Source organism: Homo sapiens, chromosome 1 (genome assembly GCF_000001405.40).
Source record: "Homo sapiens chromosome 1, GRCh38.p14 Primary Assembly".
NCBI classification, from domain to species: Eukaryota; Metazoa; Chordata; class Mammalia; order Primates; family Hominidae; genus Homo; species Homo sapiens.
This window is the reverse complement of record NC_000001.11, coordinates 12643576-12668659: the sequence shown is the minus strand read 5'-3', so window position 1 is coordinate 12668659 and position 25084 is coordinate 12643576. Positions and strand designations below refer to the sequence as shown.

The following is a 25084-nucleotide window of genomic DNA, read 5'->3' as shown; positions in this document are numbered from 1 at the left end:
GGCATGTATGTGATATGTGCTTGTGATTACCTTGCATTAGTTCTAGTAGCTACCTTGCTGGAGTCTGTCTCTCCCTTGCAGTCATTTGGAGAATTTCATGTGTCAAGACACTGTGGGTGACCTCTAGAAGCTGAGATTGATCTCTGACCACAGCTTGCAAGAAACTGAAGTCCTCAGTCTATAATCACAAGGAATTGAATTCTGCCAACAACCTGACGAAGCTTGAGAGTAGATCCTTCCCCAATTGAGTCTCAGATGAGACCACAGCCCCAACACCTTGATTGTAGCCCGCAAGAGGCTACCAACACAGCCCCTGACTAAGCCAACAACCCAGCTAAACTGTACTCAGGCTCCTGACCCACAGAAACTGTGAGCTAATAAATGTGTATTGTTTTAAGCCACCATGTTTGTGGTAATAACGTTACACACCAATAGATACTTAACACACCCTTCCATCAAAGCTGCTTACGTATAATCCATTAGTCACAATGTCTGCTCATGCCCCCAGGGGCCCAACCCAAATTGACTGTGTGGATGCCTGCTCTTATTGCAAAGAACCAAGACTTCTGTAGGACCCCCTCCTCCATCAGTCATAGGTGAGGTCGTTGGTACCCACTGAGGCTATGGTTGGGAAAGCCTCCAGCTTCAGCATTTGGGTGGGACTTTGGTGAGACTGACAGCACTGAGGCCCAGGGGTATTACAGGTATATCTAGCAAACATGGGCCCAAGCAAACACTAGTGTGGGTCACCTCTAACATGCAATACAAATATTCCCTTCCTTTTCTCTGTGAGCAGAGAAATTGGCATGGCTAAGCTATGGCTTGGTTCTTTATAAAAGTGAGAATAGTCTGGCATGGTGGCTCAGGCCTGTAATCCCAACACTTTGGGAGTCCAAGGTGGGTGGATCACGAGGTCAGGAGTTCAAGACCAGCCTGGTCAACATGGTGAAACCCCATCTCTACTAAAAAATATAAAAATTAGCCAGGCTTGGTGGTATACACCTGTAATCCCAGCTACTCAGGAGGCTGAGGCAGGAGAATCGCTTGAACCTGGGAAGCAGAGGTTGCAGTGAGCCGAGATTGCACCACTGCACTCCAGCCTAGGCGACAGAGTGAGACTCCATCTCAAAACAAAAAGAAAAAGTGAGAACAATATACAAGCTCATTGAAGAAAACAGGCTAGCACCTTACTGCCTTAGGAAATGCAGTTTCCATATTCCAGATGGCATCCAGAGGTTCTCAAGACATCCCTGACTTGGTGAACCTACCTGTTAGTACCCAGTGGTCTGCTTTTGGAATTCAGATTAAAGACTTGAGCCCAGGCAAAGCTCACAGCTCCCCAGAGCCCACCCTTTTCTTCTGTTCCTTTCCTCTTGCCTCTTTCCCTGTCTCTCTCTTTCCCACAATCCCCTCTGAGATCTTCATTGTCAAGGGTAGAATTTCATTGCAACAGCATTTCTCAGACCAGCTGGAGCCAATCAAAGTCGAGATTTGACCCAGTGACCTTTGGCCGCAGGAACAATTAGATGCCCCCTCCAGCAATACTTTGACTTCATGGATACAAATTCACCACTGACGGTATGACCAGTTGTTGGCATTTATTCTGCACAGATCTTATATGTTGGGGCTTTGAGAAATTTTTAAAGGCATTTTTTTCTCCTTTTGATATTTATTTCACCTAAATGGGAATGTTAGAGAATGTCGCTAGATCCAGCAATGGACATTGTTAGTGCTGGAAGGAAACAGACACAGTTTGGATTTTCTTGAATACTAAGCAAGACTGTTAGCTTACTTCTCACCCTTCCCAGCTGCCCCAAGCATTGATGTAGCACCTCTTTAGTCAATAAAATAGAACTCACTAAAGCACCCGGTTTCTGGTAGAGTCCATACTTGCCCCTTCCTCCTCGGGGCCCCAGGGTTACTATCATATGCCCTTTATATAACTGACTACAGCATTCACAATCTTCAGGGAACATGGGAAAGAGAGAGCCTTCTTATCAAAAAAGATAATGGATCCGTGAAAACCATCATACAGGTGGTACCATGTCACGCGGACCCCCTGGTCCTCCAAGCGCTTCTTATAGAGCAAGCTGTCATCACGGAGTATGTCATTCTCACAGCTCACCAGGAAGGCCTCAGGAAGCTGAGCGATGACCTCATCATCTGCTATCAGGGGTGAATTTTCTACATCCAGCATATGTTTGGCTTCTAGATAGGCAGCTTCATTAAAAGGGCCGGGAGACCAGGGTTGGTAGCCTCTGTTCTTAAATTTCTTGGGGATGTTGTCAGGGCTGAGCCACTTCTCGTACTTCCTCCAGACGTCTGGGGGTACACAAGTGCCGTTCAAGATGGCGTCACGCCAGGAGAGGTCAATGGCCAGATAGTTACACAGAGAAGTCACCATGAACTTCCGGGAAAGTAATGGGACATTTTGGTTCTGCTGAAAGGATGGCAACTGCAAACAGAATGCCTGGACAACTGGATAAATCAGAACCTGAGCCCGGATCCGGGGAAGATCTGATCTGCCCACCAAGGCCTGGGTGATGGCGGCCACCGCTGCACCTCCGACGCTTTCTCCACAGACCACAACCCTGGAGGGGTCCACCCCATAGGTTTCCAGGGCCTTCAGGAAGTGAATGGAGGCATTCATGCAGTCTTGGAAAAGGGCAGGGGAATGGTGGTCAGGAAGCTTGCGGTACCTAAAACGAAAACAGGGAGCAACACTACACCAGTGTGGACAGTGTTGCTAGGGAGCTGTTTCAACAGAATCCTCAACCCCCTTACAAGACTATATCTGATTAAATCCTCAGAATAACCCTATGAAATAAGGATTTTATCCCCATTGTCTTCCTATGAGCATGTGAAGAACCTGCCTAGAGTCATACAGGCAAGGATTCTTAACTCCAAACCTGTGCTCTGTCAGCTTCCCGTAAACTCTATACGAGGTGATGCAACTTTGTTTTCATTGAAGCTATTTGCTTTGGGAGCAAAACAACCAGCAATGGCTGAAAAAAAGGCAAATGAAACCACTACCAGTCCCACTGTTTGTCTGTAGAGAAAGGGAGAGAGAACACTAAAGTTAAAGTCAAGAGGAAGCTACTTTCAGGCAGAATTTTTTTTTTAATCAAAAATCTAGGCCGGGCACGGTGACTCATGCCTGTAATCCCAGCACTCTGGGAGGCCAAGGCGGGTGGATCACGAGGTCAGGAGATCGAGACCATCCTGGCTAACACGGTGAAACCCCGTCTCTACTAAACAAAATACAAAAAATTAGCCAGGCGTGGTGGCGGGCGCCTATAGTCCCAGCTACTCAGGAGGCTGAGGCAGGAGAATGGCCTGAACTCAGGAGGCAGAGCTTGCCGTGAGCCTAGATCGAGCCACTGCACTCCAGCCTGGGCGACAGAGCGAGACTCCATCTCAAAAACAAAACGAAAAAAAATCAAAAATCTAATTTAAAAGAATTGGCTAGGCATGCATGGTGGCACACACTTGTAGTCTCAGTTACTCAGGAGGCTGAGGCAGGAGGATTGCTTGAGCCCAGAAGGTTGAGGCTGCAGTGAGCTGTGATTACACCACTGCACTCCAGTGTGGGAGGCAAGAGGGGCAGGGAGTGTTCTGAAGGTGTAATGTAGAGACGGAAAGCTAGCCTGGAAACCCACAGCTCAAGCTGCAGAAGACCCGGGTGCCAGCAGCTGGTGAAGAACACTAGGGCGTTGGTCTTCAGTATCCTGAGGTTTGGCTTCCGAAGTATGTCCCCTCAAAGAAATTCAAGGGCAAAGAAAAGGAACTTTAAAATGAGCTTTTAAAAGCAGTAATGAACAAGCTAATTAATGCATAAATTGAGATTAAGATAATAGAAAGGAATGAATAAAAAAATAGAAACAGTTTGGCTTAACTGATTGGAGTAGAGAGTTTATCTAAATAATTGTTCTCTTAAATGTTAAGTTGAAGTGGCTGCTAATCATCTTTTCTGTTCTTACAATCTATCATTGAAAACATCAAGGCCGGGCGGTGGCTTACGCCTGTAATCCCAGCACTTTGGGAGGCTGAGGATCACTCAACCTCAGGAGTTCAAGACCAGCCTGGCCAACATGGTGAAACCCCATCTCTACTAAAAATACAAAAATTAGCGGGGTGTGGTGGTGGGAGCCTGTAATCCCAGGCACTTGGGAGGCTGAGACAGGAGAGTCACTTGAACCCAGGAAGTGGAGGTTGCAGTGAGCCGAGATTGTGCCACTGCACTCCAGCCTGGGAGAGAGTGAGACTCCATCTCAAAAAAAAAAGAAAGAAAACAAAAGAAAAAAGAAAAAGAAAAGAAAACATCAAAAAGGTATATTCTAATTATCACATTAAATTTGGAAGAAGCTCATAAGGAAAAATAACACCTTAGACTAGTGGCTTTCAACTTAGAACGACAAAATTATTTTTTTCATTTCGAAGAAAAAAATTATATGAGAGCCCCATTGTATAAAATAAACAAATGCAGTTGTTCTGGTTTTGCCCAAGGGTAAGGAACATAAGCCCTCACTCTTTCTTCTTCTTCTTTGACCTCCATAGCTGCCTCTAAGGCATCACAGGGAACTCTAGGGTTCAAAAGAACCATTTTGAAAACACTTCCTTCTATTATACCTTGAATTTTGTTTCCTTTAAAAGTTAACACCTCATCTTTCAAAATAGAGTTTGATTGATTGCAGCATAATTTAGTGCCCATCTAGGAAACAATTATCACCCAATAATCTTATTGGCCATTTCCTAGATGGTCAATATATTGATAAATCTATCAATGTTATCGAAGCAGGTTCCTATTTAAGCTCAGGCGAAACACATGCTTCTTAGAGGGTCCTTGCAGGGAGGTGGCCCCTTCACCTGGTAGCAGAGAGTACAAACCTCAGCTTTCATTTTCCCATTTCTAGAAATGAATACTCCTCACCAAATGTTGAATATATGACTCCAACATGATGAAGGGGATAACAAATATTAGGTACTTTCTATTGGCAAAATCTGTGACCTGCCAGAAAGAGGCAGAAATTCTCCTGTGCCTCCCTACACTTCTCTCTTGCTCACTGTGATAGACTGAATGTGTGTGTCCCCCTAAAATTCCCATGTTGAAATCCTACACTGCAATGCAAGGGTATTAGGAAGTGGGGCCTTAGGAAAGTGATCAGGTCATGAGGGTGGAGCCCTCATGAATGGGATTAGTGCCCTTATGAAGGAGGCATTAGAGAGCTCTCTGGCTTCTCTTTCTGCCATTCTAGGATACAAGGAGAAGCTGGCAGTCTACAGCCTGGAAAAGGGTCTTCACCAGAGCCTGACCATGCTGACACCCTGATCCTGGACTTCTAGCCTCCAAAACTCTGAGAAATCAAAGTGTTGTTTAAGCTGCCCCATCTATGGTAATTTGTTACAGCAGCCCAAACTAAGAAACTCACCCAGAGGTGAAGGCTTCGCAGAACCAAAGGTCAAAAGACCCATCTTCTCCAAGAGTTCGGGTAGGGAGTCCCATCCAGGCCTTAGACATCTCCCTTCCTTCAGTGTCTCTCAGGGAGTCTCCTCTCAGCTACTGTCTCCCTGCAGCCTCCTGGAAGCCCTTATCTGTGCATGCAGCTCCATGAGCCACTCTATCAAAACTGCCCTGGCCCGTGCACCAGGTCTAAGTATCTGGGATAATGGCATCCTAAGCAATTTCCTACAAGGTATTAATGCAGGTGCTTATTGATACCTTTATGTGCTACCTGTTCAAGGGATGTTTTTATTATCACAAAGGGCTTTGGTGACATAGACTGTAATGGTGGAATTTCAGACACAATGGTAAGCCACCTGGGAGGTATGTTGATGAATACTAGAAAGTGCTGGCTTCCTCAATCTCATCAGAGAGGACCAGAGATGTTAAGTGACTTTGTTTAAGTCACACAGCTATTCTGTCTACCAAAGCCTAGGGGCAGCTAAGGTTTGAGGAGGTCCATTGTAGAGGTAGAATCTAAAAAGGCAGATTTTAATTTCTCTCGCTGGCCTTCTCTAAACTCTTTCCCAGTGATGTGAGATCTCTTGAGCCAAGAACCAGAATCCTAGTGAGTAGCCCCTACTGCCCCCTCCATCCACTCTAAAGATGCCTCCATCTCCCTTTTGTTTTTATAGGACCAGGGTTGTATCTTAAGACACTCTCAACACTAGTTCCTGTAGGACCAGAAGCTTAGTTAGTTTTTAACAATGCAATAAGCACCTGCAGAACCATCACCCCAAACAACAGCCAGAATCTTGCGCATCACCTTCACCAACCCCACCATCATGCCATTTTGCTTCTCCTCCAACTTAATGAATGGTTACCCTGAATCCTGTATCTATCATTTTTTTCTTTCTATGTTACATTGTCTTGTTACGTCTATGTGTTTTCCTCGAAAGTATTCTTTTGGTTTTAACGTTTTTACCTTTGCAAAATGAGTATCAGGCTTTATGTAATTTTTTGAACATTTTTCACTTAGTTTTATACTACTAAGATTCATTTGCAACATGGTACACCTTTCTAGTTCATTTATTTAAATGGCTGTGGAAAAATCCATAATATCTTCTTGGCTATGTAATCTAACAGTTGCTGTGCTGAGGTTTATTCATGCACGCCCCCGTTCATGGACATGTGGGTTGCTTTCAGGTTTTTGCTCTTTCGAGCACTGCTGCGCCTGTCTCTGTGGATGCATGTCCAAGAGTTGCCTCTTGGGAGTTAGGGCCTCTCTGATCTACAAATCACCCATGAACTTACCCTATCTCCTCTCACCCCTGTGGAACCTACCAGCTGTCTCCAGAAACTCACCCAATCATCAGAAGTACAGATTCAGTCTCCCGGGCCAGATAATTGCACAGGCCATGGTAACAATCTGCAAGACAAAAACACTCAGAGCAGCAGCGCATGAGTAGGACCCAAACCATCTCACCACAGCCCCCAGGAAGAGCCAGCTGACAGTCTTGGTGTGGGGTGTGGCATCCTCTCTGTTTCTATCCTTGCCTCCTCTGCCTGGACAGAGCCAAAAAACCAGGCCAAATCATACATCTGTCCCCAGCCTCCTGAATTTTGGGACTCAAATTCACCTTGGGGCTCACTTTCTGCAACATTTATTTTACAGTGGAGGAAACCAGGAACCTGGAAATCTTAGTGATCTGAAATGGAAAAAAACCAAGGGAAGTTAGGCATGCCTGCCCTAGGATGTTAATAATAACTATAAATTTATATTGATCAAGAAATAAACAAGGGTTGGACGGGATGTTTCTATGAGTAGAGTGGTGCATATGAAGTTCTCAGAGGCAGGTCCGTCAATATGAGTACGTAGAACATACTAGCACAGTGGCAGACACAGAATCACTGCCAAATACACTTCTAATGCAGTCATTCTCAACTTCAGCCATACATAGAGGTACCAGGGAGTTTTTACAAGTCCTCAGGCCCAGGCTAAACCTCAAACCAATTAAATCAGAATCTCTAGCATGGAAGCTCAGGCATCAGGATTTTCTAAATCACACCAGGTAATTCCAGGGTTTGGAGGAGGTTGCTGAAGTGGGTGCATGCCTCATTAATGCTCTTTGAGGGAGATGACAATGGTTCTGAATGGAGCCAGAGGCACAGAGGGGTCTAAATTGAGTCGGAGCAGTCAGCCCCTAAGTTGAAGTTTCCATACTAGTAGGTCTCAGCCCTGGCTGCACATTGCAGTCATCTGATGAGCTGTTTAAAAATACTGATGCCCTGGTTCATGCCTGTAATCCCAGCACTTTGGGAGGCCGAGGTGGGTGGATCACGAGGTCAGGAGTTTGAGACCAACCTGGCCAGTATGGTGAAACCCCGTCTCTACTAAAAATACAAAAATTAGCCGGGCATGGTGGCACATGCCTGTAGTCCCAGCTACTCAGGAGGCTGAGGCAGAAGAATTGCTTGAACCCGGGAGGCGGAGGTTGCAGTGAGCCGAGATCATGCCACTGCACTCCAGCCTGGGTGACAGAGCAAGACTCCATCTCAAAAAAAAAATGCTGATGCCTGGGTCCTGCCCACTTAGCCTGGGGTATGATCTGGGTATGAATATGACTTTAAAATTCGCAGGTGATTTTAAGGCCCAGACAAAGTAAAGACCTCTGCTAGACACCCGGGGCCAACCTGGGTGTCATCTTCCCGATGTAACCCAGACATTCCTCCTTTCCCAAGCATGTCAGGTAGTCCCTGTTTCAGAGCTTTGCACTTACTGTCCCTCCCACTTAGACTTAATAGGGCCAGGACTAGGGTGAGGTAGGCAAGACATCGCCTTGGGTGCAAAATCAAGGGAGCCCCACAACACTCAGCCATACAGAAAAATAACATTTGGATGCAATTAAGAAATCACAATTAATGCCAAAAAATTGTATGTTGAACAAAATATCAAAATTTTAAATAGGCTTGGCTGGGTGCAGTGGCTCACACCTGTAATCCCAGCACTTTGGGAAGCCAAGGCAAGAGGATCACTTGAGCCCAGAAGTTTGAGACCAGGCTAGGCAATATAGCAAGACCCCGTCTCTGTAAAAATAATTAGGCCAGGCACAGTGGCTCACTCCTGTAACCCCAACACTTTGGAAGGCCAAGGTGGGGGGATCACTTGACCCCAGTAGTTCAAGACTAGCCTGGCAACACAGGGAAATGCCGTCTCTACAAATAACTGAAAAATTAGCCAGGCATGGTGGTACATGCCTGTGGTCCCAGCTACTCAGGAGGCTGAGGCAGGAGGATCACCTGAGCCCAGGAGGTTGAGGCTGCAGTGAGCCATAATTGCATCACTACACCCCAGCCTGGACAACAGAGTGAGATCCTGTCTCAAAATAAACAAACAAATACATAAATAATTACCTAGGGGTGGTGGTGCATGCCTGTGGTCCCAGCTACTCGGGAGGCTGAAGCAGGAGGATCACTTGAACCCAGGAGTTGGAAGCTGCAGTGAGCTGTGATCACGCCACTGCACTCCATCCTGGGTGACAGAGCAAGATCCTGTCCTTAAAATATATATATGTATATAAACAGGCTTCTATTTTTCACTTGCACACTTGCTGTGCCCTGTTGGGTCCTGCCTGTGTATACATTTTGACATTTTGTTCATCATAATTGTTTTGCATTAATATTTGTTTTTTTAAACATTGCATTAAAATATTACTTATCTTGATTAATGAATGTTTTGGCATCCTCTGAATTTGGAGCCTGAAGCAAGTGCCTCCCTCTAGCCCCGGCCCTCACCTAGAAGGCTCTTTTCCGGCTTCCAAAGGGCCAGATCCTCCTCATCCATTGAGCCTGAGGTCAAATCTGACTTCTCTGATGAGAAGAGCTAAATCGGAATGATGCTGTGAGATTCTCCATGCCACCTGTGTTATCATGATCTGCAATAACTTCAGTGTCCAGCTCCCTCAGGTGACTGTCAGGTCCATGAGGCCAGGAACTGGGTTCTGTTCCCATGACAACAGATCCAGCTAGAGACTGTCCTTCGTCACTCCCACCACCAGGTGGCAGTACATCCTAATCTCGGGGAAGTTATGTACCGGGAGAAGCCCGCCTTTTCCTATGGGCAAATTTTTCTCGTATGTGTCCATGCGTCGGTCCATACATCCATATCCATTTGTTCATTCGCAAGCTCATCCTTTCATCCACTTATTCCCCCATCCATCCATCTATTCATTCGTGCATTCATTCATTCAATTCAAAAAATGAAAACAACAGGCACTGAGGATCCAGCAACAAACAAAACTTCTTGCACTCTTCATTTTTAGTGGGGGAGTCAAGTACTGAATATGGAAACCCATGAAAGAACAAAATGAGCTCCGACTGTGTCAAGTACCTGAAGAAAATTAACAAGGATGAAGCCGGGGGTGGAGACCAGGGTGCAGGGCAGGGCAGCATCAGCGCTGGGGGTGGAAACGGGTGCAGGGCAGGGCAGTATCAGTGCACGGGGTGTACACGGGGGGCAGGGCAGGGCAGCATCAGCGCCGGGGGTGGATACAGGGGTGCAGGGCAGGGCAGCAGTCAGCAAGGAGAGTTCTTAGATAAGATGTCCAGGGAGGCTGAGACAGGAATAACACAGGGTGGTTACAGGAGAATAGAAAATTCCAGGCCACGCGTGGTGGCTCACCCGTGTAATCCCAGTACTTTGGGAGGCCAAGGCGGGTGGATCACCTGAGGTCAGGAGTTCGACACCAGCTTGGCCAACATGGCAAAACCCCGTCTCTACTAAAAATACAAAAATTATCCAGGTGTGGTGGCACGCGCCTGTAATCTCAGCTGCTTGGGAGGCTGAGGCACGATACTCGCTTGAATCCGGGAGGTGGAGGTTGCAGTGAGCTGAGATTGTGCAACTGTGCTCCAGCCTGGGTGACAGAGTAAGACTCTGTTTCGAAAGAAAGAAAGAAAAAGGAAGGAAGGAAGGAAGGGGAAGGAGGGAGTGAGGAAGGGAGGAGAGGGAGGGGAAAAGAAAGAAAGAGAGAAAGAAAGAGAGAAAGAGAAAAAGAAAGAAAGAAAGAAAGAAAGAAAGGAAGGAAGGAAGGAAGGAAGGAAGGAAGGAAAGAAAGAGAGAAAGAAAGAGAAAGAAAGAAAGAAAGAAAGAGAAAAAGAAAGGAAGGAAGGAAGGAAGGAAGGAAAGAAAGAGAAAGAAAGAGAGAGAGAGAGAGAAGGGGAGAAGAGAAGGCAAGACAAGACAATTCCAGGCAGCAGTTTCACACAATGAGCAAAAGGAAACTTGAAATGGCTGCAGAAGCTAGAGACTGATAAAACCCTGAAAAGCCAGGGTGTTGGCCAAGCTGGCTAAGACTGACTGGACCCAACATGGCACCGGATTTGACCTGAGTCTCTCCTAGGACCTCCTTCTATGTCATCAACATACTAAACACACACCCACTAGTACCATGGCAGTTCTGGGACACCCATTTTGGTCCCAGAATGGGTGTGGACCCACCACAGTTCTGAGAAAACTCCGCCATTTTCCAGGAATTTTCATGAATATTCCGCCCCTTGGTTAAAGAAACCTATAAAGGTAGCAGCCCCAATCCTCCTCGCACGTGTCTCTCTTGAGTCTGCCTGCACTCTTTTCTTGACTATGTGCTTTTCCCTTTGCAATAAATCTCCGTACTTTCACCATTTTCTGACTCGTCCTTGAATTCATTCTCATGATAGTGTCAAGAGCCTGAACACTGGCGAGGGTCAACGTCCCAATGGCATTTGGGGACCTCCCCCAGACCAGCAGTATCATCTTTGTGGCGAGCCAGTCAGGAACATCATCGCTCCCATTTTAGAACCACTGGCAATTGGTAAGTCCCGCTCCAACCTTAGTTTGAGTCCTCTTGTTCTCTGGAATTACTACTTTCTTCCTTCTTTCTTGGAGCTAGCTACAGCCTGCCTCCCTGCTGCTGTTTCCCTCAGTCTGGAAAACCCAATTCACCCTGATGGGTCACAAGCAGAGATGAGAAATTTTCAACCTACACAGAGTAGTTTGGGGTTTTGTTTGTTTGATTTTTTTTTTTTTTTTTTTTTTTTTGAGACAGTCTTTCTCTGTCACCCAGACTGGAGTGCAGTGGTGTGATCTCAGCTCACTGCAACCTCTGCCTCCCGGGCTCAAACAATCCTCCTGCTTCAGCCTCCTGAGTAGCTGGGACTATAGGCATGTGTCACCATGCCCAGCTAACTTTTGTATTTTTTGTAGAGAAGGGGTGTTTCACCATGTTGCCAGGGCCAGTCTTGAACTCCTGAGCTCGAGCAGTCCACCTGCCTCAACCTCCCAAAGTGCTGGGATTCCAAGCATAAGCTACCATGCCCAGCCTTACACTGAGTAGCTTTGAGGCACCATGGTCCTCCCTGACACGAGGCTAATGAGGGTGGTAGGGTAAAAACCCATACCAGGCAGTGGATGGATGGTTTCCAAGGAGCACTATGACTTTTTCCTGGGAAGGGGCTTCTGTTTTCCCAAGGGACCAGCTGTGCCAATACACTGACGCTAGTTGGAAAATGTTTTCTCCTTGTCTTTCTTTAAACCTTACTGTTGTGATTTTCTCTTCTCATGCTTCTTCCTCACACTTCACCCGAAAGCTTAGTGAACTCTTTAGACGCAGCAGGGTAGGCCCCTTAGATACTGTTCTCTGGAATGCCAAGTGCTCCCTTCAAGGTCCCTATTTTTTGGCCATACTGAATCATCTCTACTCCCAAGCTTTACCTGGTGGTAAATGTTCAGATGGATATCAGCAAGCTTGCAGGCCCACAGCTTGCCCTTCTCGACCTTCCCATTTCCAAAGCCCCAGGGGCCACAGATGCCTGGGCAACACTGAGACTCCAGAGATGCCTAGATGCCGAGGACAGTAGGGCTCCAGGGATGCCTGGATGCTGAGGCAGCCAGCCAAGGGAACTGGGATGCCTGTCTCCCTGGTGTGGACATGGAGCTGGCCAATCACAAGGGACATTTCATAAAATGCCAGGACCAGTCCATCCATGAGGGAACCATACTGTTATTTTCCCCTTCTGTCTCAAGTCATGCCAAGGACAAGCCAAGGCCATGGGTAACTTTCCGTCTCTGTCAACTCCCCTTTGGGACACATTCTTAAAAACTGGAGTAATTTTAAACTTGATGGGCTTAGAAGAAACTCATTTCTTTCTATAACACCATTTGGCCCCAATATAAGTTGGAAAATAGGGTGCAATGGCCAGAGAATGAAACCCTAAATTTTAATACCATCTTGTGATTAGGTCTTTTTTGTAAATCTCAGGAGAAATGGACTGAAATACCATATATATAGGCCTTCATGGCTCTTTATCAGAACCCTTTATTAGCCAGTCAGTGCCCAACATCAGGAGAAAATTACAGAAATTGGCTTTGGGACTCCAAATGCCTGTTAATCAAATGCTTGATGTAGCTTTTGGGATATTCAATAATAGGGACAGGGCTGAAAAGGCTGAAAAGACCCGGCATGGCAAACAATGGGATGAAGTGCAAGCCCAAATGATAGCCATCCTTGTAACTCTGCAACCAGTGCCCCACAAACCCAGGGTCACCCAGAGGGAGGCTTCAGTCGTTGGTGAAACGGGCCTAACAGCAAACCTGCAGGCAATGGTTACTGCTTCAAGTGTGAAAAGCTGGGACACTGGAGCAATGATGTCCCAGCCAGGGAGCCCACCTAGACCCTGCCCTCACTACAAGCAGAAGGCCCACTGGAAAAGGGACTGCCCTGAGCTCTGAAGGCAGGGGACACCCGATGCCATAATGGCCATAACTGAGAACTGAAGAGGCCTGAGGTTCCTGGCAGCCCCCACAAAAATCATGGTCATCACAACTGAGGAGCCTCAGTGACTCTTGACATGGCTGGTAAAAATATTAATTTCGTAATTGACTCAGGGGCCAGTTACTCTCTCCTAAACAGCCACCCTGGGCCCTTATCCTCCAAAAACTACAGTGTCACAGGTGTTGATGGCACCCCAAAATCAAAGTGCTTTACTTTACCCCTGAACTGCAGGCTAGGACCATATATATAGTATAGTCTATATAGTATATATATTAACTCATGAGTTTCTAATTATGTCGGAATGTCCCATTTGTTTGTTGGGATGTGCGAGACCCTGACCCAACAACGGATGAATAACATGTACTGACATGTATTCTGCTTTGCCAGTCCGGCTGAGTGTCCGAGCCGTTTACAGACACCAAGCAAGGTGCTGTAAAGAGTCAGTGGCCACAGCCCTGACCAGCCAGCGAGACTCGTATTTATTCAGTAAAGATTAATTGACAAAGGCTTGAGTCAACACACCTGTGGGTAATTAACCTGGTCACCCCTACCCCGGAGAGGGCCGTCTTGCCCATGAATGATCAAAGGTTAGTCTTAGGACCACGTGAGTAAACAAGCTATTTAGATAAACTGTTCTATCTTCCTTTGTACCCACTTTAAGCTATTTACTCAAGGTAAGGATTAGGTTGCCTTCAGCCATAACCTTATCCTGAGATTTTTGCAAAAACCTTCAGGCCTTCCAAGAAGGTTTGTGGCTATTATAACTAAAATTTTTCCCACCAGCCTGACTGAACCCCCACAGGGATGGGACTTCCTAGCCATCCCAATAAATGAGCCACTCTATCAGGCCCTAGAAAGCCCTCCTTATCGGCAATGCTTGCTGCTTCTAAATCAGCCTCAGAAAAACAGGAGACCCACTCACACACCGAAATAAGGTCTCAAGTAGACCCACAAGTATGGAACCAAGAAACTCCTGGCAAAGCAATACATGCTCAGTCAGTGATCATCTCTTTAAAAGACAAAAATAATTCCCCATACAAGGATCAATATCCTCTCAAATCAGAAGCCAGGCAAAGACTGCAACCTCTAATTGAGAAGTTGTTAAAACATGGCCTCCTGGTTCCAGGCAGATCTCCTTGTAATACTCCTGTCTTTCCTGTCCAAAAACCAAACAGTAGTTCAAGACTTACAATGAGACCGTAATTCTCTTACATCCTATAGTGCCAAATCTTTATACCGTATTTACCCAAATACTGGGAGACACCAATTGGTTCATGGTATTAGATCTTATGGATGGTTTCTCTCTGCACCCTGAATCTCAGTATTTGTTTGCTTTTGAGAGAACTGATCCTGGAACTACTATTTCCCTACAGCACACCTGGATGGTACTGCCTCCAGGCTTTGGGGATAGGACTCACATGTTTGTAAATCCCTTGGCATGAGAATTAAGGGAGCTAGAGCTAGAAAGGGGGGGATACTCTAATACGTGGATATTATCCTTGTATGCAGTCCCTCTGAGAGGACTCAGAGAAGAATGGCATTCAGGTCCTAAACTTCCTGGGAAAAAGAGGGTATAGGTTCTCTTCATCCAAGGCCCAGATTTCTAAACCTGAAGTAAAGTAAAATATCCGGGGCACATCCTAAGCCCAGGGAACCAGACCTTGTCCATCAAATGAAAGGAGGCAGTCTTGAAGGTAGGACCTCCACAAACAAAGCAGCAACTTAGAACTTTCCTGGGTGTGCCAAGGTTTTACAGGATTTGGATCCCAGGATTTGCGCTCATTACTAAGCCATTGTACGAGGCCCTAACAGGACCAGAGCATAAACCACTCAGAAGGGTTTGTGCGGTAATAAACCATACCTGTTGTTCTTATATCAACAATTCAGGATTAGCTGAACTGCATGTTCAAAGTTTTACCAACAGGCTATCCGGCTGTATAATTTCAATAACGTCACTGCTGAAGCCATGTGGGACTCCATCCAGGGATACCTACCAAGTGTGACATGAGTCCTACCTTTCCTGGGTCCTCCAATAGCTGTCTTATGACTTCTGATCTTGGGTCCTTGCTTGTTTAATCTCTTTGTAAAGTTTATGTCTTCTTGACGCAAATGGTTTTTGCCTTTTATGGCAAACACTGCAATTACTTTCACACCAATCTAATAGACTGCAACAGTTCCATGTCAAAAGGATGGCCCTGAAGGATTCCAACCAATCCCTGCCTCAGATTCAGATCCTCCTGATGACCCACCTTGGGTCACCCATAGGCTAGGCATCCAGAGATTTCCAAGCCTACACTAGGCGGGGCCAAGACCCCTAATCAGCAGAAAGTAGATACTGAAGACTGACCTCCCCCGTCATCAACCCCTAAGTATAGGAGATGGAAATCTCTGAGGGAAAAAAAATGAGATAGGAATTACACAGGGTGGTCGCAGAAGAATAGAAAATTCCAGGCAGCGGTTTCACATGACTAGCAAAAGGAAATTGTTGAAATAGCCGCAGAAGGTGATAAAACCCTGAAAAGCCAGGGTGTGGACCAAGCTGGCTAAGACCGACTGGACCCAACATGGCACTGGATTGGACCTGGGCTTCTCCTAGGACCTCCTTATGTGTTCATTAACATGTTAAACACACACCCACCAGCGACAGGACAGTTATGGGGACACCATATTTGGTGTATAAATGGGTGGCACCACAGTTCCGAGAAAACATCATCTTTTTCCAAGAATTTTCATGAATAGTCCACCCCTTGGTTAAAGAAATGCATAAAGGTAGCATTTCTTTGCGCCTGTCTCTCTTGAGTCCATCCCACTTCCTTTTCTTGAGTGTGTGCTTTTTCCTTTGCAACAAATCTCTGTATTTTCACTATTTTCTGACTTGTCCTTGAATTCATTCTCCCAACGGTTTCAAGAGCAGGGACACCAGCTGGAGGTGCCACTGGCCTTTGGGGACATCCCCCAGCCCACCGGTATCAAGACAACTCTGGGGAGGGACAGTTGAGATACAACTGAAAGAACCAGGCGTAGTCAGCCATGCAATGACAGGGGTGGGAAGGGTATCTTTTGAGACTGAGGAAACAGCAGGTAGAGAACGGTGGTGAGAAGGAGCTTAAGTGTCTGCAGCAGATAGACGCGTATTGGGACTGCAGCTGAGTGAACGGGTAAAGGACACCACAGGTGACCCGGGTGAGGCTGTGGGAGGAGTCTGGGTTTCATGGAAGGGCACAGGAGAGATTTAAGTGCAGGACTGACAAGCTCTGACTTGTATTTTTAAAAGATCCCTCTGGAAGGCTGGGCGTGGTGGCTCACGCCTGTAATCCCAGCACTTTGGGAGGCCGAGGCGGGTAGATCATGAGGTCAGGAGATCAAGACCACAGTGAAACCCCGTCTCTACTAAAAATACAAAAAAAAAAAAATTAGCTGGTCACGGTGGCAGGCACCTGTAGTCCCAGCTACTTGGGAGGCTGAGGCAGGAGAATGGCGTGAACCCGAGAGGCGCAGCTTGCAGTGAGCCGAGATCACGCCACTGCACTCCAGCCTGAGCGACAGAGCGAGACTCCATCTCAAAAAAAAAAAAAAAAAATCCTCCTAGCTGCTGGATGGGGACCAGATATGAGGGGCGAGAGGTGAATCAGGGAGACCCGTGGCTGGGAGGCTGGGATGCAAGGAGGCAGGCAAGCAAGGATGGGGTCTTGGGTCATGATGATACTGCAGAGCTAGAGGGAAATACATGGGTTTGGGATCATTGTAAATGAGACAGGGCAGGCCAATGACTAGGAGTAGAAAGGGGAGAGAGGAGTCCACAGCCTCTGCGACAGCCCCACCATGACCACTGCTGTCCCCATCTTGACTGAGACCATCATATTAAAGAAAAGAAAAGGATTCCCATGTCAGCTGCCACACTATCTACTGACCTGAGCCCAAAGCCCTTAGTCTGGGCTATTAACGCTATAAAAATCTCCAACAACTGATTCCTTTAAGCTACTGTAGAAGGGTTCTTGCGGGAGGCATGAGCTAGGCTATGCATGCAGATGAGGCCCTTCCTCTACAAAGCCACAGGGAAGCCCCTTACCCAGGCTCCCAAATACTGTGGCCCCTCCATGGTAGAAGATGATGCCTCGCCGGGGTCTGGAGGATGCTGCCTTCGGCTGGAACAGCCTCACGGGTATCGTCCCAAAACGCAGGTCGGTCACCACAAGTTCAGGGTCCTTTTTAATTCTCACGCTATCATGTAAAAAACGAATAAATTTGGGCATGGAGCAAATTCCCAGCTTCTCAAATATATTCCCCTGTTGGAGGTAACAAAAGAAAGCCAGACGTTAGGAGAGGTTAGAATCTGGATGGTAGATTCCCTGACACTTAGAATTGTTAGGATGTTTTCACAGTTTCTCACCTGCCTCCTGTAGGTACAGGGGGCTCTTCAGGAATCCATAGGCTCTGGACTGTGTCCAGGTAGAGGGCTGGGTTTTCCAACTTTTCTCCCCAGAGGCTCTTGATTGAATAATGATGTGAATTTGCCAAAGGGTAGCCTAGCTTGGGGCTGACTGGGAAGAAGCCACTGACTTAGAAAAGCCAATTGTTGGCCGGGCGCAGTGGCTCACGCCTGTAATCCCAGCACTTTGGGAGGCCGAGGTGGACGGCTCATGAGGTCAAGAGATCAAGACCATTCTGGCCGACATGGTGAAACCCCATCTCTACTAAAATTACAAAAATCAGCTGGGCATGGTGGCGAGCGCCTGTAGTCCCAGCTACTCGGGAGGCTGAGGCAGGAGAATCACTTGAACCTGGGAGTCAGAGGTTGCAGTGAACTGAGATCGCACCACTGCACTCCAGCCTGGCAACAGAGAGAGACTCCATCTCGGGGAAAAAAAAAAAAAAAGAAAAGCCAGTTGGCCAAGGCAACTGGCCAGCAACTTCCCTCTCTATAGCTCTGTGCTGGACTCTCCCCAGCCTGGGATGCAAAGATAGTTCCTCACCTGTATCAACAGATCATTCTTCTGGGTTAGGAAGGATTCCTAACTGTGTCCGTGTTCAATGAAAAAGAGCAACGTGATCAGTTAGGGATGTCTGTTGTGGGCTCAGGTCAAGGGAGTAATGTGTTTTTAAACTAATACGGTCACTCTACTTATAAACAATTCAACATCTGAATATTTCACGAAATACAGTTACAAGGTGTCATATTTCATGTACTAAGTACATTTCAGCGATTCTGGATAATCTCTCCCACAGACCTCACATTTGGAGTGTGTCTTTGTCATAAGGAAAACAGCAAGGAATGATAAGAATGACAAGAACAAGAACAGCTGATACTTATCAGACATTTACAATGTGTCAGTACTGGCCCAAGTGGCTTGGATCATTAACTTGATTAAACTTCTCAGCAACCTTTCTAAGTCAGGCATAATTACCAGCTCCATTTTATAAATCAGGAAGTTAAGACATGCCAAGGTCAAGTTCCTTGCCCAGGGTTGTTCAACAAGTAAGATGCAAAATTTGTGTTCTCAACTGCTAACCAAGAAAGAGCTTGGGTTTCAGAGCCAAGCCTATCCAAGCTCAAGTCTGACCCCAAACTCCAATGAACTGAAAAGCCTTGGGCATCACTGTCTCTGAGCTTCAATTTGTCTCTGAGCTTCCCAAAATGAGAAGCATGTTGTGTATAGTCCAAGGATGAGGTGTGAGGATGGGATGTGATCACCTACATAGAGTGTCTCCCCAGTGGGTCCTGGCCAGTGTGAGCCCCACCCTTTCTCTTGCTTGCACCCACTGGGTCTTGTCTGAGGTTGCACGGACTACCCCAATCGGTTCCCTCCATGAAGAGGTCCTCCTAAAGGAACTCCAAACAAAATAATGATTTCCCTGCTTTAGTTGGAGGAGAATGAGTTGATCTGCAAGGTGGAGGTCACCTGCTTTTCCCATCAACTGACCCACATCCGAAAACCCCAGGCCTCTATGTTGTACCAGCATGGATCTTCACCTGCTCGGCTGTGAGCTCCCTAAGTCGTGGCCCCTGTTGTCAGGGTAGGCTGGCCCCAGCACTAATCTCCCCAGCTGTCTTCCCTGTTTGCCCACACACTGTGGGCTTCTCCATGCCTCCCTTTGTTTCCTGGGAGCCTTTCTTACCTGTTCAGCAGGTGGTTGGACACCAAACTGACTTTCATATCCAGGCTCAAGAGTCATGTTCACGTGGGGCCATCCTCCTCCCTCTCATAGTAATGGCCACTGCCTTCTTGGAGGCCCTCAGTACCCTGTTGCCCAGGTTGGAGTGCAGTGGCACATTCTCAGCTCACTGCAACCTCTGCCTCCAAAGATTTCTTTAGAACTCCTCTGGGGCTTTACTGTGTGGATCTGATCACCCATGTTTGTTCCTACCACCAAACCAAATGCTTCTCATGAGCAAAGGTCTCAGCACCTTCCCCTCTGTCTCCAGCATCTAGAACAGGAAACGTTTGTTTAGGGGATTTTGAACAATGAAGTGTGATATTAACCCTCCATAGGCATCGCGCTACCCCGGAAAGTTTAACATCACGCTGTACCGTGTGATGGCCACTAGCTATGCCACGAAGTTACTTTGTTTTGGTTTTGGTTTGGTTTTCCAATTCTGAGTCCACATTTTCTATAGCTGGTAACTTAGGACAGAGGCAGAGAGGAAAACTGATTATTAAGATTATACATGGGAGCATCGAGATTTTAAAAATATCTGAGGTCCAGTGGCCAGGAGTGGTGGCTCACGCCTGTAATCCCAGCACTTTGGGAAGCCGAAGCTGGCAGACTGCTTGAGCCCAGGAGTTCAAGACCAGCCTGGACAACATGAAGAAACCCCATCTCTACAAAACATACAAAAAAAAAAAAAACCCAGGCACAGTGGTGCATGCCTGTGGTCCCAGCTGCTCAAGAGGCTGAGGTGGGAAAATTACTTGAACCCGGAAGATGGCGGTTGCAGTGAGCCAAGATCATGCCACTGCACTTCAGCCTGGGCGACAGAGTGAGACTCCATCTCAAAAAAAAGGAAAGAAGGAAAGAAAGGAAGGAAGGAAGGAAGGAAGGAAGGAAGGAAGGAAGGAAGGATCTGAGGTCCAGAATTTTAAATAGCTGTTGAAACTCCTTGACAAATATTGCATCATTTGCCCTTTAAAAGAAAAGCAGTCCGGCTGCGGTGGCTCATGCCTGCAATCCCAGCACTTTGGGAGGCCGAGGCAGGCGGATCACAAGGTCAGGAGATCAAGACCATCCTGGCTAACATGGTGAAACCCCATCTCTACTAAAAATACAAAAAATTAGCCAGGCGTGGTGGCACGCACCTGTAGTCCCAGCTACTCGGGAGGCTGAGGCAGGAGAATCGCTTGAACCTGGGAGGCAGAGGTTGCAGTGCAGTGAGCTGAGATTGCACAACTGCACTCCAGCCTGGGTGACAGAGCAAGACTCCATCTCAAAAACAAAAACAGAAAAGCGATAGTGGCTGGGCACAGTGGCTCATGTCTGTAATCCTAACAGTTTGGGAGGCCAAGGCAGGCGGATCTCTTGAGCCCAGGAGTTCAAGACCAGCCTAGGCAACATGGCAAAACCTGGTCTCTACAAAAAATACAAAAAAGTTATCTGGGCATGGTGGCAGGCGCCTATAGTCTTAGCTACTCAGGACGCTGAAGTGGGAGGATCACCTGAGCCCAGGAGGTCGAGGCTGCAGTAAGCCATGATTGTGCCACTGCACTTCAGCCTACATGGTAAGAGACTGAGACTGTCTCAAAAAAAAAAAAAGAAAGAAAGAAAGAAAAAGAAAAGCAATAGTGTTTGTTATATTACTGTTTATATATTTTAGTAAGGCTGAAATCATTCATAGCAACTTTTAAATCTATAATAATTTCAAGAAATGCTACATCTTTGCCTTCAGGGACTTGATAAGCATACTATGAATAATTGACTTTTATCGAGACTTTCTAAGCACCCAGCACTGGTGCTGTGCATTTTCAGTGCTTTTCTCATTTAATCCCCATGTCACCCTATAAAAAGCCTCCCCAGGGCCGTGCACAGTGGTTCATGCCTGTAATCCTAGCACTTTGGGAGGCCAAGGCAGGAGGATTGCTTGAATCCAGGAGTTTAAGATCAGCCTTGGCAACGTAGCAAGACCCCATCTGTACAAAATATCAAAAAATTAGCCAGGCGTGATGTGAAGGTGCACGCCTGTGGTCCGAGCTACATGGGAGGCTGAGGTGGGAGGATCACTTGAACCCAGGAGGTGGAGGCTGCAGTGAGCCGTGTTCACGCCACTGCACTCCTGCCTGGGTGACAGAGTGAGACCCTGTCTCAGAAAAAAAAAAAAAAAAAAATCCTCACTTTTCAGAGAAGAAAATAAAGGCACAAAAACATGAGTCCACAAAACGAGTAAGTGAGGGCTTCAGGGCTCAGAGGGTGGTCTGATACCGAAACAAAGCTCTTGATTTCCTGGCCATAGACTCTTTTTAGCTTTTTCCTTGTCCTCCCTAAACTTCTTGTTCCTGTGTTGTCTATCTGTCCTCTGGAACCGAATGAACATTCACTACTGTATGTCCTCATCCTCATCATCATCACCCCATGATGGGCAGTGTGCCCTGGGAGGCCCCAGTGCCGGAGGGATCGAGAGAGGACGCCACAAGCTGAATCCACCCTTTCAGCGGCTGCAGACCCATCTCAGAGTCCCCTGTGAACAGCCCATAGCAGCTGTCATCAGTAGATGTTTAGCTTGTGGGCTACTTTTGAGGAGAAACACTGACAGAAAAATCTCCATTTCTCTGGGCCACCTGAACATCTTAGGCCCTCGTTTTAAATCCTGGGGCTCTAACCCAACTAGTAACTCCATGTGGATTGCAGCCACTGGCTTGAGACTGCCTAATTCCAGGCTGATTGCATTCTCCAAATGAGAGGACACGAGTACTTTCTACATCCTTGTCCTGTCTCCTTGCGTCAGTGGCATTGATGCCACTGCACACTGAACTTGTCGGTGTCTCTAAAAGTGATCTTTTAGAAAATGTTTTTGTAACCCATGGGGAACACTTCCAGCAGCACAGAGATGTATTTTACGAATTCACTAAACATCTCTAGACATATTAACCCTCCCAGATGAGGAAACTGAGACACAGAGAGGTTAAGTAAATGGTGCAGGACCGCACAGCGAGTGAGTGACAGAGCTGGGACACACACTCAGGCAGTCCGGCTGCTGTCTCTGTTCCTTATTCCTAAGCCCTGCTGTCAGTTAAGCGTGGCCTCCTCATCCTCCTCCACAGCTGCCCTGGAATCAGTAGGAGCTGTTTGGCTTCTATAAGGTCTCCACCTAGGGTTGGGACATTGGGGTTAACTCAGGTTGCCTGCCACAAACAAGATGTCACACCACTGTTTCCAAATCCACTGCAACTCTGGGTGCATGCTGGTCCACCCCAAACCCCCAATCCCCAAGCCCTGCTCAGAGCCTGGCTGGCACGGCCACTCAGAAATGCTGGGTAAATTCATGTATACCAACAAAAGTAAGCACCTACCAGATACCAGGCTCTGTGAGTGGGACTGGGCTTACAGAGATGAATAAGGAAAAAAACACCTGTGAAGCTAGGTGCAGTGGCTCACACCTGCAATCCCTACACTTTGGGAGGCCAAGGCGGGCAGATTGCTTGAGCCCAGGAGTTCTAGACCAGCCTGGGCAACATAGCGAAACCCTGTCTCTACCAAAAGTACAAAAATTAGCCGGGCATGGTGGTGCGCACCTGTAGTCCCAGCTACTTGGGAGGCTGAGATGGAAAGGATCGCTTGAGCCCAGGAGGTTGAGGCTGCACTGAGCCATGATTGCACCACTGCACTCCAGCCTGGGCAACAGAGCAAGACCCCGTCTCAAAAAAGTAAAATAAAATAGAAACAACCTATAGGTAAGTCAGTGCACTGAGGGTGAAAGTGTGCGCGGCTGAAGGAGGGGCAGGGGCTGTCAGGCCACAAGCCCGGGGAAGGCAGGAACTGGGTCTGAAATTGTTTTTGAATTCTCAGAAAAGAGCCCAGTGATTGGCACTCGGTAAATGTTTGATGCTAAAGGAAGAAAGGAAGGGAGTTAGAGAGAGCAGGAGAGAGGAAGGAAGAACGGAACAAAAGGAGGGAAGGAAGGAAGGTAGGAAGGAAACAAGGAAGGAAGGGAGGGAGGGAGGGAGGGAGGGAGGAGGGAAGGAAGAAAGGAGATAGGGAGGAAGGAAGAAGGGAAAGAAGAAAGGAAGGAGGGAGGGAAGGAAGGAGATAGGAAGAGAGAGAATGAAGGAAGGAGGGAAGGAGGAAGGAAGGAGGGAGGGAGAGAAAGAAAGAAGGAAAAAGGAAGGAAAGGAGCGGAGAAGGAGGGAAGGAAGGAAGGGAGGGAGGGAATGAAGGAGATAGGGAGGAAGGGAGAGAATGAGGGAAGGAGGAAGGAGAGGGAAGGAGGGAAGGAAAGAAGGAAAAAAGAAAGGAAAGGAGGGAGAGAAGGAGGGAAGGAAGGGAGGGAGAGAGGAAGAAAGGCAGGCAGGCTATGGGAAGGGGGAAGGAACGGAGGGAGGGAAGAGAGAGGCAAACAGAATAGCAGATACAGAAGAGACAAGTCTATCTTGAGGGAGTCCGAAGAGAGAGAGACAGAAGGGAAGTGAAAGAGGGAAAAGAGGGTAAGGTACTGAGAACAAGAGAAGAAGCCCCCAGGTTACGACGTGGCCTGAGAGTAAACTCACCAAAGTGACCAGGTAGAGGAATATGCAATGCAGGAATCTCAACTTGGCAGGATGCTGCAAGGTAGCAGGGATATCCGTGGTGAGGAAGTGCTCAAAGACAGCCCAGACAAAGACCCCCAGGAAAAAGATGGGCAATGCCAAGAGTAGCACTAGCCAGGGGACAGCCATGTTCCTGGGGCCTTGAGGAGCTGCTGCCCTGAGGAGCTTGTCTGATAGCTTATGTGAAGAGGACCTGGCTGGGTTACACCCTCCGCCTCCTCCACCTCACTCTCTCTGGGCTAAGCCTGACACCTGACACAGTGGCCTGACACAGCTTCTCAGGGTAAGCACAAAAAGGCCAATGGGAGGTGGAGGAACCTATTTCCCTAAGCAATGTGGGGACCCAGAAAAATCAATACTGCTCATCATGGGGAGTCTTGGAAGGTGAGCTTCCCAAAGATTTCAGGAAGATCAGGCTCAGATGGGCACCTCGGCTCCTGGGAACCCTAGAAAGAGATCTCATATGGGTTATATAGGCCTCCAGGGCCTGATCTTTCAACTGTAAGATAAGAGACTTCGCCAGCTTTCCTTGTCAGAGTGTGGTTAGGGTGAGCACAGCACGTCTCACCCCAGCTCCCTAGCTAGCTTCCCTAACCCCAGTTTTGTTTTGTTTTTTGAAACAAGGTCTCACTCTGTCACCGCCTATGTACCCTCTGGGCCTCTGGCCAGATCAGGGCAAAGACTGGCGTGTTTTCTGGTAGTCATAATCTTCTGGGGTCCTGGGACGGGAGACAGGAATGCCATTGCAGGCAAAACTGGGCTTTATCCAGCCTCATATTCCGCCTCTAAAAATGGTGCCAAGGGCTGGTTTGGGGACAATTTTTATCCACGTTACTTTCTTCTAAGAGAGAAAGAAATGATTGGAACCATTTCAGGAAATAGGCTTTGAGCCTGAAAATTTTAGAAATTTTAATTTGGGCCGAGCACGGTGGTAATCCCACCTGTAATCTCAGCACTTTGGGAGGCTGAGCTGGGAGGATCACTTGAGGCCAGGAGTTCAAGACCAGCCTGGCCAACAGGGTGAAACCCCCTCTCTACCAAAACTACAAAAATTAGCCGGGCATGGTGGCACATGCCTGTAATCCCAGCTACTCGGGAGG

General features: G+C 47.4%; 1 protein-coding gene across 2 annotated transcripts; it reads right to left on the bottom strand.

Annotated features, from left to right (window-relative positions):
- Positions 1-1583: 1583 nt before the first annotated feature.
- AADACL4 (arylacetamide deacetylase like 4) lies at positions 1584-24575 on the bottom strand. 2 transcript variants are annotated; one of them, NM_001013630.2, is made up of 4 exons: positions 23946-24575; positions 17321-17537; positions 6806-6869; positions 1584-2699 (listed from the first exon to the last, which is right to left on the bottom strand). In NM_001013630.2, the coding sequence occupies exons 1-4, from the start codon at positions 24111-24113 to the stop codon at positions 1925-1927; spliced, it is 1224 nt and encodes a 407-aa protein (NP_001013652.1). In that variant the 5' UTR covers positions 24114-24575; the 3' UTR covers positions 1584-1924. The 2 variants fall into 2 exon arrangements, with proteins under 2 accessions (NP_001013652.1, XP_016856642.1); XM_017001153.1 differs by lacking the exons at positions 6806-6869; positions 17321-17537; positions 23946-24575 and adding an exon at positions 3660-4070.
- Positions 24576-25084: the final 509 nt, after the last annotated feature.